The sequence below is a fragment of the Homo sapiens genome, chromosome 9 (assembly GCF_000001405.40).
Source record: "Homo sapiens chromosome 9, GRCh38.p14 Primary Assembly".
Classification (NCBI taxonomy): domain Eukaryota; kingdom Metazoa; phylum Chordata; class Mammalia; order Primates; family Hominidae; genus Homo; species Homo sapiens.
In genome coordinates this window covers 126949797-126966123 of record NC_000009.12, presented here as the reverse complement: position 1 = coordinate 126966123, position 16327 = coordinate 126949797, and the positions used below count along the sequence as shown (strand labels likewise).

The following is a 16327-nucleotide window of genomic DNA, read 5'->3' as shown; positions in this document are numbered from 1 at the left end:
TCCTTTTTAATGCTGCATTGTATTTCACAAAGGGTGGTACGGACTTTACTCAACACTCCCCTCTTGCTGGGCATATAGAATGTTTCCAATCTGAGCCCAAAGCCTAAGTGGTGGCTCCCTCTAGTGCCCTGCTGTGGTGCCCAGCCACCCACACCAGCCCTGTTTCACTTACAGCAAACTCCTCTGGGGTCACTTTCAAGACATCGAAGACAACGGCATCATAGCTCTTGCTGGCATAGTCGCAGCTCTGGCCCTCCAGAGAGTCCGAGCTGCTGCTGCCCTGTGGAGAGCAGGGAAAGATGGTGCCAACTGAATGATATGACGTGGAATCATTGCCTCCCAAACCTCCTCGGAATTCAGGATGGGAGAGCAATGGAATAGTACAATAAAAAATGGCTTCTATTGATTAGAGCTTTACCCCAGTCCAGGCACCATGTTAAGCACTGCATGTGTATGATCTTATTTCCTTCTCACATGTGCCCTATGAGTACAAATTATTATTGTTCCCATTTTATAGAGAAGGAAGTAGAGGCAATGTTACTTCTCCAAGGTATCTCAGCTATGAAAGGGAAAGCCAGAAAGTAAACTTACTTTTGTATCTATCCGACCCCAAAACACATACCTTCAGTTGCCACACCCTAACTTTCTCTGGCCAGTGGTTTAGTGGTGGGGTAAAAAAATTACAGCCCAATCTTCCTTGAGGGAGAACAGGACTGCATGTCTTAGGAGGCCTGAGGAGACAATCTGCCTCATGATGTCTTTCAAACATTACCTGGTTTTTTCCTACTTGAAGTCACTGCAGGAAATTGTTACACAAAATGTGAAAGTAGCTCTCAAGGCTTATTTATCATGCGGGGCACTTGGAATTCAAAGCCTGCTTGCTAATGAGGTGAGAGGTAACCAACTGGCTTTAGAGGCTGTTGTGAAAGTTATATTTAGTAGAGTCCTTTGTGCTAAGGACGCTCTGCATCCTGCATGTATATGAAAGAGTCTCCCATAAAAAGGCAAGTTAAAACTCCTCAAATGTGGCTGATTTCACGAATCTCAACACTGTGGGGATCCCAGAATGTTGAATATACTTTCTCTTTAATTTAACTTCATCAAGCTCAATCAAGCTTACCGCCCAAAAATTGTGCCCTGTTCATAAATGATTTTATTCGTCTCAGCTCACGAAGAAGGATTTTGTGGTTTCCATTAACCTCAACATCTTGGACTGGGATTTAGAGAATATGCTTTTATTAATTCTTCTTTATTTCACTCTTTCCAAAATGGCTATATCTGGAAAAACTTTGTAATCTTCCTGAAAACTAGAGTGCTTTTAGGCCAGTGAGGGAAACCAATAGTCAACAACTGCAAATGTAAGGTTAAAAAGAGGAGCAGGAACTTAAACCTGCAGATTTCGATAGGCCTGTGTCATCAAAAGATTTTAAAATGAGTCTACTATACCAAAAACTCTTAAGATGATCTTAAGAAGCAGTATACCATAGTGGTTAAGACCTCTGAGGTCAGATAGGCCTGGATAAAATGCCAGCTCCACACCAGTTGCTGTCTGTGCTCAGACGAATAACTTCGTTTTACTGAGTCTCAGTTATCATCTGTAAAATGGTGATATTAAACCTACTTCCCAGGGCTATAGTACGGGTTATATAAAATAAAGCTTAAAAAATAACTGGCAGAATCTGCCTCCATCCCCAGGAGGGCTGATTCAAGGGGACTCGGGTGAGCTCAGGCATGGCTTTTTTTTTTTTTTTTTTTGAGTGGGAGTCTCGCTCTGTCACCCGGGCAAAAGTGCAGTGCTGTGATCTCGGCTCACTGCAACCTCCACATGCTGGGTTCAAGTGATTCTCCTGCCTCAGTCTCCCAAGTAGCTCAAAAGTAGCTGGGATTACAGGCACCCGCCACCATGCCTGGCTAATTTTTGTAATTTCAGTAGGGGCAGGGTTTCACCATGTTGGCCAGGCTGGTCTCGAACTCCTGACCTCAGGTGATCCACCCACCTCAGCCTCCCAAAGTGCTGGGATTACAAGCATGAGCCACCACACCCAGCCCAGGCATGGCTATTTTTAAAGTTCCACAGTGACAGGACATTCTCCCCTGAGGAGAACCTACGCAGAGTGAACTTTTGAAAAGTTATAAAGATTTCTCCTGATGCTGCTGGAATCGGCAGTCTACTCCATCTCCCAGTCTCATATGTAGATCCTGAGCAGACAATTCTGTACAAACCGTTCTATACTTCTATACCCACCTTCCAGAAAACAGAATATATCAGGGTGACAGGGTGGATTTTCTTTTGGATGGTATAATGTCATGGTTAGGAGCACCGGCTCGAGAGTCAGGGAGGCCTGGCTTTGAATCCCCACCCACATGGCAGCTGTGTGATTCCAAGCCAGCTTGTTCACCTGTCTGTGCCTTAGCTTCCTCATCTATAAACTAGGGATAAAATAATAATATACACCTGATGGGGTTATTGTGAATATTAAATTAGACAGTGCCTATGGAACATGCAAAAAAGTGCCTGGTATATAGTAAGCAACAAATTATGGGGCTATGTTGGTGTAAATGTATCACTCAGTCATCAAAATTTATTGAGCACTTCAGTTATACATGTATTCATCATTTGCTCATTCATTTATTCAAAAAATATTTATTGAGTACTTACCTTGTGCTGGATACACATATATGTACATATACACAGCATATATGTGTGAATGTGTATAATGTGTATACACATATATATACACACTCAAATATATATATATACACACACACACACATATACATATATACACATACAGACCAGAGAAGAAAGAAGCTTCACTCTAAATGGAAATAGAAGTCTGACTCCTCTAGTTACAAAAAGGAGTCCATTCCTGGGATTTCGGGTATTATAACTTTCCAGTGACACACCATTGTATCTGCCCCAAACACACACAATCATACAAGGGGACGTGTTGATCAAAAGCTGCCCCAAATACATTCATTGGTGATGATGATGAGGGTAATGACAATTCTGCTGCAGCAACAGCTTTACTTAAACCTATCCCGATTTCAGGACCAGAGATCAAAACACCGAATTTTCTTGAAAGGTTTATAAGAAACTAACTGATTCCTGTGACTTTTTGGCAGGTTACCCAGGATCACTTCAAAAGCCTAGCATAATGAGGAGGGCCTTGTGGGCTCAAACCCTGGTATGGCCTTGCCAATCTGTCCGAGGAGCAGGCGTTACACACACAATAGGGTGGTGGCATCTTGGGCCTCAAATGGCACCCACTCCTCCTGCATGCTTCTGTGCCATTACCGAGCATGGAAATCAAACTCTCAAACCCCACAGCAGGGGCCCTAGCCCAGGCCACTGCAGACCACCAGTCCTTATAACCATTTCCCACTGAGCAAGGTAAATAAGAACCCAGGGCCAGTTGGAATGACTTCTGTCTGACTTCATTCCGGAATGTGTGTGACTTATTTATAATCAGCAGCGGCTTTTCCTGGGAAAGGTCTGATCCCTTCTTGCCACCAAAATGGAATGTGGCACTTGCTACAGCTGGACTGGGCAGGTATTTGTTTTTCTTTGAAGAGAACAACTTCAGAAAACACGCTGATCCTCAGGGCTGACTGCCTCCCAAATCTCACGCCTGGCATGGCCAGGGGCCTTAGGAGTGCTAAGAATGGTGGTATTCACAGAGCCCTACTGCCTCGCTGTCCAAGGCTCAGCTGGGGCCTGGGTTAGCTGAAAGGAGACCCCTCTACCCACTGTCCCGATTCTTGCAGCCTCAGTACCTGTGGAGTGGCAGAGGTGACCAACACGCTAGCCATCAGACCATTCCTCTTGTACATAGTCTCCAGGCCACAGGGAGCTTCAGGGCAGCCTCTGCAGGTAACATAACCTGTCTGGAGAAGTCCTGCAAGGCAAAGGGGCTCATAAAAATCAGTCTTCAAAACAAATTTATCCCCACCCCCAGGCAAAAGTTGTACCAGACTTGAGCAGATCATCTCAGAGGAGACCTTTAAAGAAAGGTCATAAGCTAGTGGCTTTCAGGCTAACTATGGCCCACAGATACAGTTTGATGGGCTTGTACAGGGTATTAATATTTTTAAAATTAATAACCAACATTTAAAAATTGGAAGATTTCACATAGAATTCTGCATTTCTGACTTTTCTGGCAATACTGGGCCCATTTTACTGTATGGTGACCATCAGCCAGCTGAGTGGTGGCTGCCCCTTGGATTGGAGCAGGGCCTTTGAGTCCCCAGTTAGCTTGTGCGACCATTTCAGTGCGTGCCTGGCCCTTGCAGGCACTAGAGTTTGTGATCTTTGTCTTATTTATTTTGAGACAGGGTCTTGCTCTGTCACCCAGACTGGAGTGCAGTGGCTCAATCACGGCTTACTGCAGCCTCAACCTCCTGGGCTCAGGTGATCCTTCCACCTCAGTCTCCCGAGTTGCTGGGACTACAGGCATGTGCCACCATGCTCCACTAATTGTTTTGTGGAGGTGGGGTCTTGCTATGTTGCCTAGCTGGTCTCAAACTCCTGAGCTCAAGCAATCCTCCCACCTGGGCCTCCCAAAGTGCTAGGATTACAGGTGTGAGCCACCGCATCCAGCCTTGATTTTTCTTTTAAACCAAAGGCAGGGTGAAGAAGACAAGCAAATTCTCTTGTGTTCCCCTGGCACCACACTTCTTCATCCATAATAACCTGGGTAATAGCTAACCCCATATAGTACCATATGCCATGCTTGGCATACATTAGCTCATCTAACCCAAAAATCCTGAAGTAGGTCCTATCATTACACCCTATTGCATGTGGGGAAACTGAGGCACAGGGAGGCAGATATCTCATTATTTGATGGCTTTGTTCATGCCACCCTGCCACCCTGTCATCATTCAAGACCCTGCTCAAATGTCCCTTCTTCTGGCTATCATGCCTGAACAACCCAAAACAGAGCCAGCTGTTCTGTCACCCAAGTGCACACACCTCTAGAAGAGCATTTACCACATCACTGAACGCAGAAAGCTGTGGCCACTGACAGCTTTTTAGTGGCAAGTGACCAGGAGAGTAAGGAGGGAGTTGGGAGGAAGGCGAGGAGAGGACAAAGACTGGAACCAACTGCAGTTATCCAGGCAAGAGGTAAGGAAGGGCCCCTGAGCTGAGGCTGCGGCAGTCAAGTCAGAGGGGAGAGAGACTGAGAGACAGGAAGGACAGAGACTCCCCAGGCACTGAAGTGGAGGGAGGCAGAAGTACCAGCTGAGGATGAGATGGTTTTTGGCATGAGGTACCAGAAGGATGGTGTGTCCTTCTTCAAGGAAGGAACAGAGGTGACATAGCAGATTTGGGGGAAGGATGATGAATTTGATTTGGGAAATGCCGAATCTGTGATGCCTATGTGAAAATCAATCCTGGAGAGCAAGATCTAGCCCAAAGGTCACTGCGAAAAATGATTTGCCTGGATAATTGCAGTTGGCTCCAGTCTTTGGAGGTAGCTCAAAAAGAAGAAAAAGTCAGCCTGATGATATTGACTCCATCTGCAACCCTCCCAGGTCCCTCAGTCACAGGGCCTGGCACACAGAAGTATGCTGTCAAAGAAACAGGGGTGGCCAGGCACAGTGGCTCACACCTGTAATCCCAGCACTTTGGGAGGCTGAGGTGGGCAGATCACTTGAAGTCAGGAGTTCGAGAACAGCCTGGCCAACATGGTGAAACCTCGTCTTTACTAAAAACATAAAAATTAGCCGGGCGTGGTGGCAGGCGCCTGTAGTCCCAGCTACTTGGGAAGCTGAGGCAAGAGAATTGCTTGAACCCGGGAGGCGGAGGTTGCAGTGAGCCAAGATCTCACCACTGCACTCCAGCCTGGTGATAGAGCAAGATTCCATCAAAAAAAAAAAAAGGAAGAAAGGAAGGAAGGAAGGGAGGGAGGGAGGGAGGGAGGGAAGGAAGGGAGGGAGGGAGGGAGGGAGGGAGGGAAGGAAGGGAAGAAAGGGAAGAAACAGGGGCAAGCAACCAAAAAGGAATGTCCAAATGACCCAGGTTCTCTCCTGGTACATCTCCAGTGCTGACAATGACTCTTCTCTCATCCCTCAAAGTTGCTCCAATACAATATATCCACTTCAGTTATCCCCTCCTCAGTTCTATCCTGTGAGCCTTCTACCTTCCCATTCTTCCCAAGAACACTCAGAAGAACTAGCCTGCCCTATAAACAACATTTGGGAATCAACTGGGGAAAGCTGACTATGGATCTTAGAGGGTACCACTGACTTTCTGTCAATTCTCCTAAGTATGATAACAATGCAGTGGTTAAGTAGGAAAAGGTCTTTATCCTTAGTGAGGTGTGTGTCAACATATAGACGTAAAGTGAGTTTAAAACTTAGGTTAAAATGGGTCAGCAAAATATATGTGAGTAGAGACAAGGCAAATATGCCAGCATGATAACGATGGCTGAATCTAGTCAAGAGGGTATAGAGGAGTTCATTGTACCAGTCTCTGCACTTTTCCAAGTACTTGATAATTTTCATAGTTAAAAGAAAAAAAAAAAAAAGAACTGGTCAGGTAAAGTTTTTCCTTAGAGAAACAGCTGAGCTGGAGAGGCCAAAGTCCTCTTTCATGAGCAAGGAGAGGAGACGGGCTGAGAAGTCTCATTTGATAGTCATTTTTGTCCTGAGAGAAGCCACGTTTGCCATCACCAAGAACCACAGATCCACAGCTGGTGCAGCTTTAAAAAGCAGCTCCACAAAAGATTTGAACAGACATTTCACAAAAGAAGATATATGGGCCAGGCACAGTGGCTCACACCTGTAATCCCAGCAGTTTGGGAGGCCAAAGTGGGCAGACCACCTGAGGTCAGGAGTTTGAGACCAGCCTGGCCAACATGATGAAACCCCATCTCTATTAAAAAGACAAAAATCAGTCAGATGTGGTGGCACATGCCTGTAATCCCAGCTACTTAGGAGGCTGAGGCAGGGGAATCGCCTGAACCCAAGAAGCGGAGGTTGCAGTGAGCAGAGATTGCACACTACATTCCAGCCTGAGCAACAGAGTGAGACTCCACCTCAAAAAAAAAAAAAAAAGAAGAAGAAGATACATGAATGGCTAACAAGAGAAATGCCATCAGGGAAACACAAATGAAACCATAATGAGATACCACATCACACCTACCAGGATGGCTATAATTAAAAACAAAAGAAAACAACAACAACAGGCCATAACAAGTATTGGCAAAAATGTGCAGAGACAGAACCCTCACGCGTTGCTGGTGGGAAGGCAGAATGGCACAGGCACTTTGAAAGATCGTTTGGTATTCTCTTAAAAAGTTAAATATAAATTTATCACATGACCCAGTAATTCTACTCCTAGGTATCTACCTAAAAAAAGAAAACATATGTCCACACAAAGACATGAACATGAATGCTTATAGCACCATTATTCATAAAAGCCAAAAGCTACAAACCCTCCAAATGTTTATCACCTGGTAAACGGACAGAGAATTCAGTCGACACACCGCAGGATGGAGCACTATCCAGCAAAACAGAGAGGTGACGCACTGATACAGCCACTTCACCAACAAACCTTAAAACACATGCTCGGGGAAAGAAGACAGATGAAAAGGAATGTACTGTGTGATTCCATTTTTAGGAAATGTCCAGAAAAGGCAAATTTAGAGCGACAAAAGTGCACATCACTGGTGGGCCAGGGGAAGGGACAGAACTGACTACACAAGGACACAGGAGTTTCTGAGGGATGGAAATGTTCTAAAACTGGATCGTGGTGGCAGTTAGCTCTAAAAATTCCCTAAAAATCATACAATTATACCATTAGAAGGGGTGGGTTTTATGAAATATAAATTATACTGCAATAAAAGAAGCACCTTCAGCTCTGTTTCATGATGGTGATCTGAACTTACATGTTTAACTCTTCCCTCCCCCATTCCCCTTGAAATTTCATATATATACACATATATGTGTGTGTGTGTGTGTATATATATATATATATTTTTTTTTTTTTTTTTAAAGAGACAGCTCTGTTTCCCAGTTTGGAGTGCAGTGCTGCAATCATAGCTCAATGCAACCTCAAACTCCTGGGCTGAAGGGATCCTCAGCCTCCCATGCAGTTGGGATTACAGGCACGTGCCACCATGCCCAGCTATTTTTTTCTATTTTTTGTAGAAATGAAGTCTCACTACATTGCCCAGGCTAGTCTTGAGGCTGGGCTCAAGCGATCCTCCCACCTTCACCTCCCAAAGTGCTGGGATTATAGATAGGCATGAGTCACCACACTTATCCAGGATACTATTAATAAGCAAAAAACTTTGAGGAATGTCTAGTGCAGAAGAGACGGCACTGAGAGGAGGGAAACAGCCCCTGGAGGCAAGGAAAGGCTTCCCAGGATGGAGTGGCTGGGACCCTCCAACAGAAACTCCCATGAAAAACCCATACACTTCAAAATGGGAAACCAAAAACTGAGACTAAAAGTAAATCCATCTCAAGATTCAAAGGCAGTATAAGGCTGACCAACTCAGCCTGTCTGTTCTAAGCCAGAACAAACCAGCTGGTATGGATGGAACCTGTTCAGATCAGTTCAAACAGGATTAAAGTGACTCAATCCAGGCCTAACAGAGAGTCACCACAGGAGACCAAATGGAAGACAGCCAGCTTGATCCTCTTTGAGTGGATCCAGCCTATCTCAGGCCCAGGCTGAAGTGGGCTTGACTCCTTTCTGGGTGTGCCTGGCACTCTGTAGCTCTTCCCAAGGGGAGCCCAGACATGGAGCTCAAACTGCTCAGCCTGGCCCAAACGAGAGGCCTTGCTCTCCCTGCTTTCCTAACAACTGAATTCTCAAGTCTCACAGCCCTTCAACACAGCCCTCAGGCCCTCTTCTGTCACTGGCCATCGGCGCACACCCTCTGCCCATCTGAAGGGCACCACCACGCTACCCACTTCTTCAGCTTCACTGGGTGGCTCCGCTCCACACACCACCACCAGCACTAAAGTGAGTGCAGGTGCTGTGCAAGGCACCCGGCTAAGCATCACATGATTAGCTCATTTAATCGTCACAACAGCCCCATGAGGTAAAGACTACAGACTTCAGGGAAATGGAAGCACAGTGAGGTAATGTGACTTGCTGTGAGTTAGTGGCAGGACTGGGAGGTGCAAACCCTAGTCAGTCAATGCCAAGGCCTGGGCTCTTCATCATCCCTGACACTGCCTCTTGCAAGAGTCCGGGTGAGCACTGGATGAGGAAACGTGTTTAAAATGCTCCATCAGGGCTGGACATAGGGCAAGTACTCAATCAAGATTATCAGTTACTATCGGTGTCAGTGTTATCATACAATTTTCTATTCATTTATACCTATTCTTTTTTCCTAAAACAAACAAAAAATTAACTTTAAGTGTCTGAGAAAGAACAGTATCATGCTTTGTAAAACCATGGGCTTCCACTGCTGGGAAGGGGATCATCAGCAGTGGGTTCCAGGCTCCCCAGGGAGCATAGCTGAGTCCAGGGGTCCAAGTACAGGAGTCCTCTCAACCTGCCCATCTTCCCCCTGTGGCCCACCCCACCTACAGATGAAGCATGGCAGCCGTAGTGTGTTACCCATTATGCTTTATACGGGAGGTCTGACCTAGAAGGAAAGACAGAGCACTTGTTTCCAGTCTGACTCCGGCATGTCTCGCCCCCGACAAAAATGGCCGAATTTATGGGCAGCGACTCTCAGACAAGTGATACTTCACATACTAGGAAAGTACAGGATCAAGTACAACGGACTGTCCTTTTCAAGGCTCAGAGAAACCCCCACCCATCCAACTTCAGTCCCTGAGGCCTGGCTGAGCCCCCAGTTCTGTATCAGGGAGCAGACTGCCACTGAGGGGGTTAGCCTGGCCTAGCCCCGCCCTGAGAACAGCTTCCCTACCCAGAGTAGGGCCCTGAAGATAGGGAACTGTGCTTCCTAAGCCAGACTGACTAGACCAGGGTGCCCCCTGGTTCTCCTAGGAACTCAGGACCCTGAGATATTAAGTCTCTGCTGGTCAACTAAGCTAAGGTGCCACACCCTCGGGAGTAGACAGTGGCCCCATGCAGGGACAGTCTGGTCAGAGGGATGAAAGCAGGGGGAGGAAGCAGATGCACAGGCAGGAACTGAAGAAAGAGCCTGTGTCTGAAAGAAAAGGAGAGCAGCCCAGGGCCCGGCGATAAATGCCTCTCTGTCAGCATCAGGCAGTTAGAGTAGACTTCCACAAGACCTTGACCAAAGCTCGTTCCTAAACATCAAGTTCATGCCAATCCACGGGAAATCTGACCCTGGAAATGCATTGGCTCACTGGAAAGGGGAAGACACACACTATTCATTCACTCACTGTGTCCCTACCTCATGCTAGACACTGTCCTAACCAACAGTTGCTAACGATTTTCTGTCCTAGACCCTTCTGGCAGTCTGGTGAAGCCTCCGGGCTCCTTCTCATAGAAATGTTTTTAAATGCATAAAATTATACCAAAAAATTATATTAAAATATATTAAATTGTTTTTTAAATAATTTGTTATGTAGTAATATATGTATTTCTTTATGTAAGGGAATATATATCTTTATTATTGTATTCAATAACAAGAACTATTGGGGAGTCTAATAACTACCGTAATTTCAAAGTAGTTATGAGCACAGATATTCTGAGTTGCCCACGAATGTTATGTGACATGAAAATATCTGAGATTTCCACTGGTGACCAAGTCCCAGGTACTGTTAATATTACTGTGGTTCACTGTCTATATTAATAAATGAGAGAAATGCTAAATTTCAGTTCAAAGTTAATGAATGTCATTTTTTCCATCCAAATTCATAGATACTCTGGTCAAGAACCTCTGTCCCAGGCACTGGGCACACAAGGTGGGCAGGCACAGAAGGTCCCTGCTGCCACGGAACTTATATTCTAGGTAGGCAGTCAGAAAATAAACATAACAAAGAAGGTAACTTAAGATACTGATAAATGCCTTAAAGAAATGAAATAGGGTGAAAGATGATATTTGCCAGGATGGTCAAGGAAGGACTCTCTACAGATGCGATATGTAAGCTGAAACCTTAGGAAGGAGGCAGCCATACAAACCAGTGGGAATATGAGTATTCTTTGCAGAGGGAACAGCAAGTGCAAAGGCCCTGAGATGCACATGAGCCTAGCAGGTTTATCATGGAGGGAGAAGGCCATGGCTGGAGCTGAGTCACCTGGAAGCAGTCGACAGACAGGCTGGGGCCAGGGCATGAATGGCCTTGTAGGCCATGGTGAGGAGCTGGGGTTTCATTTGGAGTATACTGGAGGGAATGCTAGAGAGGTTCTTCCTTTTGAGACAGAGTCTCACTCTGTCACCCAGGTCCCAGGCTGGAGTGCAGTGGCGCAATCTTGGCTCACTGCAACATCCACCTCCCAGGTTCAAACAATTCTCCTGCCTCAGCCCCTCGAATAGCTGGGATTACAGGCGCTGGGATTATAGGTGCCCACTACCATGCCCGGCTAATTTTTGTATTTTTAGTAGAGATGGGGTTTCACCACATTGGCCAGGCTGGAGTTGATCTCCTGACCTCAAGTGATCCACCTGCTTTGGCCTCCCAAAGTGCTGGGATTACAGGCATAAGCCACCATGCCTGGCTGTGCTAGAGAGTGTTGAGCAGGGGAGTGACATGATCTGATCAGCACTGTTTTGGAAGATCACTTCGGCTACTCTGTGGAGAACTACATTGGAAAGGCCAAAATGGAGGCAGTTAAGTCAGTTAGGAGGTAATAGATGGCAGCAGCTTGGATTCGTGGGGAATGGATCCAGGAGATGTTCTGGAGGTTGCATAGACAAGACTTACTGATGGACTGCATGCAGGGGGAAAAGAAGAGAGAGGAACCAAGGATGCCTTCTAAGTTTGAGGCTGTTATGAATGAGTAGATGGGGGCCTAACTGCCACACACTGCTTGGTAGTTCATTCGTTTATTCAACACCCACCCACTAGGTGGTTCACCGGAGCACAAAGAAGTGGGTGACCAATGCCTTTGGGGGTCAAAGAAGACATCGCTGAGAAGAACCACTGAGCTGGGTCTTAAAGGATGAATGAGAGGCTCCAAGTAAAGTGTGGGCAGTGTGTGGAGGGCGCTGGGCATGTGTGGATGCACAGGGGAACAAAGGGACAGGTGGGATACCAGCATGTTGGGGCATGAGTGGCAGGTGTCCTCTCCCACCTTCCCCAGTCCCATGTCCATCACAGATTAAATGGGCTCTGGGGACACAGCAGCAAATAAGATAGGCAGGACTCCCCATGGAGTTTATCCTTTAACAGATGGAACTAACACCACAATATAGCAACAGCATCTTGCCTTCTGTTCACTCCCTCATTCTCTCAACAAACTTTGTAAAATTTTCCCAAGCCCTGCTCTGTGCAGGGGAGTCGCACAAGCCTCTAGGAGCTCATACACAGTCTGATCATTGTCATTGAGACAATTTATCAGACACTTATGTGGTGTCAGGTGAAAGGATTTATATACATTAAGACCCATTTTACAGATGAGGCAACTGAGGCTCAGAGAGATAAATTAAACTGTAGGGGCTACATTTTTATACATCTACATCAGCTGTGTCATCTACTACACAGGGAGGTAGCCTGGCATAATGGTGAGAGCACCAGCTTTTTCAGTTTGGGCAAATTAGTTTGCACTGCACCAAAAACGCCATTCTTTCCACCCTCCTTCTGCCTCTCTCACCTTACACATACACACACGCGCACACACACACACACACGCATGCACGTGTACATGCACACACATACTCTGGCTGCTAATTCCTCCCTGGAAACCAAAACACTGCAGGAGAAAAAGTGATTCTCATGATGTAACTTCTTAAGAACGTGGCAGTTGTATCAGAACCACAGTACAATCCCACATCTCTTTTTTCTGCTTATGACAGAATCTGGTCTTGTGTGGGGGGACTCCTGAAGAGGGAAAGGAAAATCCCATATGCAACCTTGGTTTCCTTCCAATCTTCCAGAATTCTCCTTCAACGTTTCAGGTTCAGGAAACCAAGAAAATAACATGAGACAGTCCAATGCAGACCACTCCTGAGAAGGCATAATAATCACTTTTTCCAGCTTAAGGAGGTTGTTTCAAAGAAAATACACACGTCCAGGAATGCTCAATTACAAGAAAGTGATTTCTTCCAAATGTTTCAGACAAGTATGAAAATGGATCCCAAACACCATTTCCAAGCCCACTTCCGCAGTGTGGACGTGCAGCTCTCCCACGACTCCGCAGCCGCCTCTTCCTCCTTTCTGTGTCATGCACAGAAGCTAGACAAAGACAAATAGGAAGGTAACAAAGAAGGATTTTGCCACAACCCCTCCAACAACTGTTCGGTCTACTCCATGAACAGTAAGTGTACACGTGTGCACACAGGCACATGCACGCATGCACATGCGCACAGACACACAGACACACAGACACACACACACACACACACACACTCTCTCTCTCTCTCTCTCTCTCTCTCTCAGCCACAGCCACAGCACATCAGATTTTGTATTGCCAAAAGGTTTCCCACTAGGGCACCCATTACTCTGGGTCTGGACCTCCTGCCAGGAGTTCAAGAAAGGCCCCCTTGTGTAAGGATGGCCATGCTGTTATCTCTACCTCCTCCTGACCCTCTCCAAACTCTCCAAGCCTCCTTTCCTGGCAAGTAGCAGCATCTGGAGGCTTTCAAAGAGAGCCTGGCCACGTAAGCACATGTCAGACTGGAATGGCCATCACTCACTCCACTGTTTACCGGCTCCCTCCTCAACTTCTTTCAAACTACACCACTCAGCATCCAACCTCTGGCCTCTCTCCCAAGAAAGGAGAGATAGTGAGCTGAGGAGGCACCACTGAGTCCAAAATGCCATGTGGGGCTAGGCCTCCATGGAGGAGAGAAGTCAGCAGTGCTCAGTAAAGAGGGCTGGCTTTAGAGACAGGATCCTCCACAGGTACTAGGAACAAGCGATAGAACTTGGGAGACTGAAGAGGTCCTTCACGTCCCTTGTAAGTTGGATTCCTAAGTACTTTATTCTCTTTGAAGCAATTGTGAATGGGAGTTCACTCATGATTTAGCTCTCTGTTTGTTATTGGTGTATAAGAATGCTTGTGATTTTTGTACACAGATTTTGTATCCTGAGACTTTGCTGAAGTTGCTTATCAGCTTAAGGAGATTTTGGGCTCAGACAATGGGGTTTTCTAGATATACAATCATGTCATCTGCAAACAGGGACAATTTGACTTCCTCTTTTCCTAATTGAATACCCTTTATTTCTTTCTCCTGCCTAATTGCCCTGGCCAGAACTTCCAACACTATGTTGAATAGGAGTGGTGAGAGAGGGCATCACTGTCTTGTGCCAGTTTTCAAAGGGAATGCTTCCAGTTTTTTACCCATTCAGTATGACAATGGCTGTGGGGTTGTCATAAATAGCTCTTATTATTTTGAGATACGTCCCATCAATACCTAATTTATTGAGAGTTTTTAGCATGAAGCGTTGTTGAATTTTGTCAAAGGCCTTTTCTGCATCTATTGAGATAATCATGTGGTTTTTGTCTTTGGTTCTGTTTATATGCTGGATTACATTTATTGATTTGCATATATTGAACCAGCCTTGCATCCCAGGGATGAAGCCCACTTGATCACGGTGGATAAGCTTTTTGATGTGCTGCTGGATTCGGTTTGCCAGTATTTTATTGAGGATTTTTGCATCGATGTTCATCAAGGATATTGGTCTAAAATTCTCTTTTTTGGTTGTGTCTCTGCCCGGCTTTGGTATCAGGATGACGCTGGCCTCATAAAATGAGTTAGGGAGGATTCCCTCTTTTTCTATTGATTGGAATAGTTTCAGAAGGAATGGTACCAGTTCCTCCTTGTACCTCTGGTAGAATTCGGCTGTGAATCCATCTGGTCCTGGACTCTTTTTGGTTGGTAAGCTATTGATTATTGCCACAATTTCAGCTCCTGTTATTGGTCTATTCAGAGATTCAACTTCTTCCTGGTTTAGACTTGGGAGAGTGTATGTGTCGAGGAATTTATCCATTTCTTCCAGATTTTCTAGTTTATTTGCATAGAGGTGTTTGTTGTATTCTCTGATGGTAGCTTGTATTTCTGTGGGATCAATGGTGATATCCCCTTTATCATTTTTTATTGTGTCTATTTTATTCTTCTCTCTTTTTTTCTTTATTAGTCTTGCTAGCAGTCTATCAATTTTGTTGATCCTTTCAAAAAACCAGCTCCTGGATTCATTAATTTTTTGAAGGGTTTTTTTTTTGTCTCTATTTCCTTCAGTTCTGCTCTGATTTTAGTTATTTCTTGCCTTCTGCTAGCTTTTGAATGTGTTTGCTCTTGCTTTTCTAGTTCTTTTAATTGTGATGTTAGGGTGTCAATTTTGGATCTTTCCTGCTTTCTCTTGTGGGCATTTAGTGCTACAAATTTCCCTCTACACACTGCTTTGAATGTGTCCCAGAGATTCTGGTATGTTGTGTCTTTGTTCTCGTTGGTTTCAAAGAACATCTTTATTTCTGCCTTCATTTCGTTATGTACCCAGTAGTCATTCAGGAGCAGGTTGTTCAGTTTCCATGTAGTTGAGCAGTTTTGAGTGAGTTTCTACAAACCACTGCTCAATGAAATAAAAGAGGATACAAACAAATGGAAGAACATTCCATGCTCATGGGTAGGAAGAATCAATATCGTGAAAATGGCCATACTGCCCAAGGTGATTTATAGATTCAATGCCATCCCCATCAAGCTACCAATGACTTTCTTCACAGAATTGGAAAAAACTACTTTAAAGTTCATATGGAACCAAAAAAGAGCCCACATCGCCAAGTGAATCCTAAGCCAAAAGAACAAAGCTGGAGGCATCACACTACCTGACTTCAAACTATACTACAAGGCTACAGTAACCAAAACAGCATGGTACTGGTACCAAAACAGAGATATAGATCAATGGAACAGAACAGAGCCCTCAAAAATAACGCCGTGTATCTACAACTATCTGATCTTTGACAAACCTGAGAAAAACAAGCAATGGGGAAAGGATTCCCTATTTAATAAATGGTGCTGGGAAAACTGGCTAGCCATATGTAGAAAGCTGAAACTGGATCCCTTCCTTACACCTTATACAAAAATTAATTCAAGATGGATTAAAGGCTTAAACATTAGACATAAAACCATAAAAACCCTAGAAGAAAACCTAGGCATTACCATTCAGGACACAGGCATGGGCAAGGACTTCATGTCTAAAACACCAAAAGCAATGGCAACAAAAGCCAAAATTGACAAATGGGATCTAATTAAACTAAAGAGCTTCTGCA

The 16327-nt window shown here is 45.1% G+C and overlaps 1 protein-coding gene across 56 annotated transcripts in view; it reads right to left on the bottom strand.

Annotated features, from left to right (window-relative positions):
* RALGPS1 (Ral GEF with PH domain and SH3 binding motif 1) overlaps positions 1-16327 on the bottom strand; it is a 308385-nt gene that overhangs the window by 257043 nt on the left and 35015 nt on the right. For all 56 annotated transcript variants that reach the window (XM_011519233.2, XM_047424120.1, NM_001322321.2 and 53 more), the window contains 2 exons: positions 3778-3899; positions 173-280 (listed from right to left, as the gene is read on the bottom strand). In XM_011519233.2, coding sequence (XP_011517535.1) covers positions 173-280; positions 3778-3834 — 165 coding nt within the window. In that variant the 5' untranslated portion in view covers positions 3835-3899. Of the gene's footprint in view, positions 1-172; positions 281-3777; positions 3900-16327 lie in introns of those variants that run through there.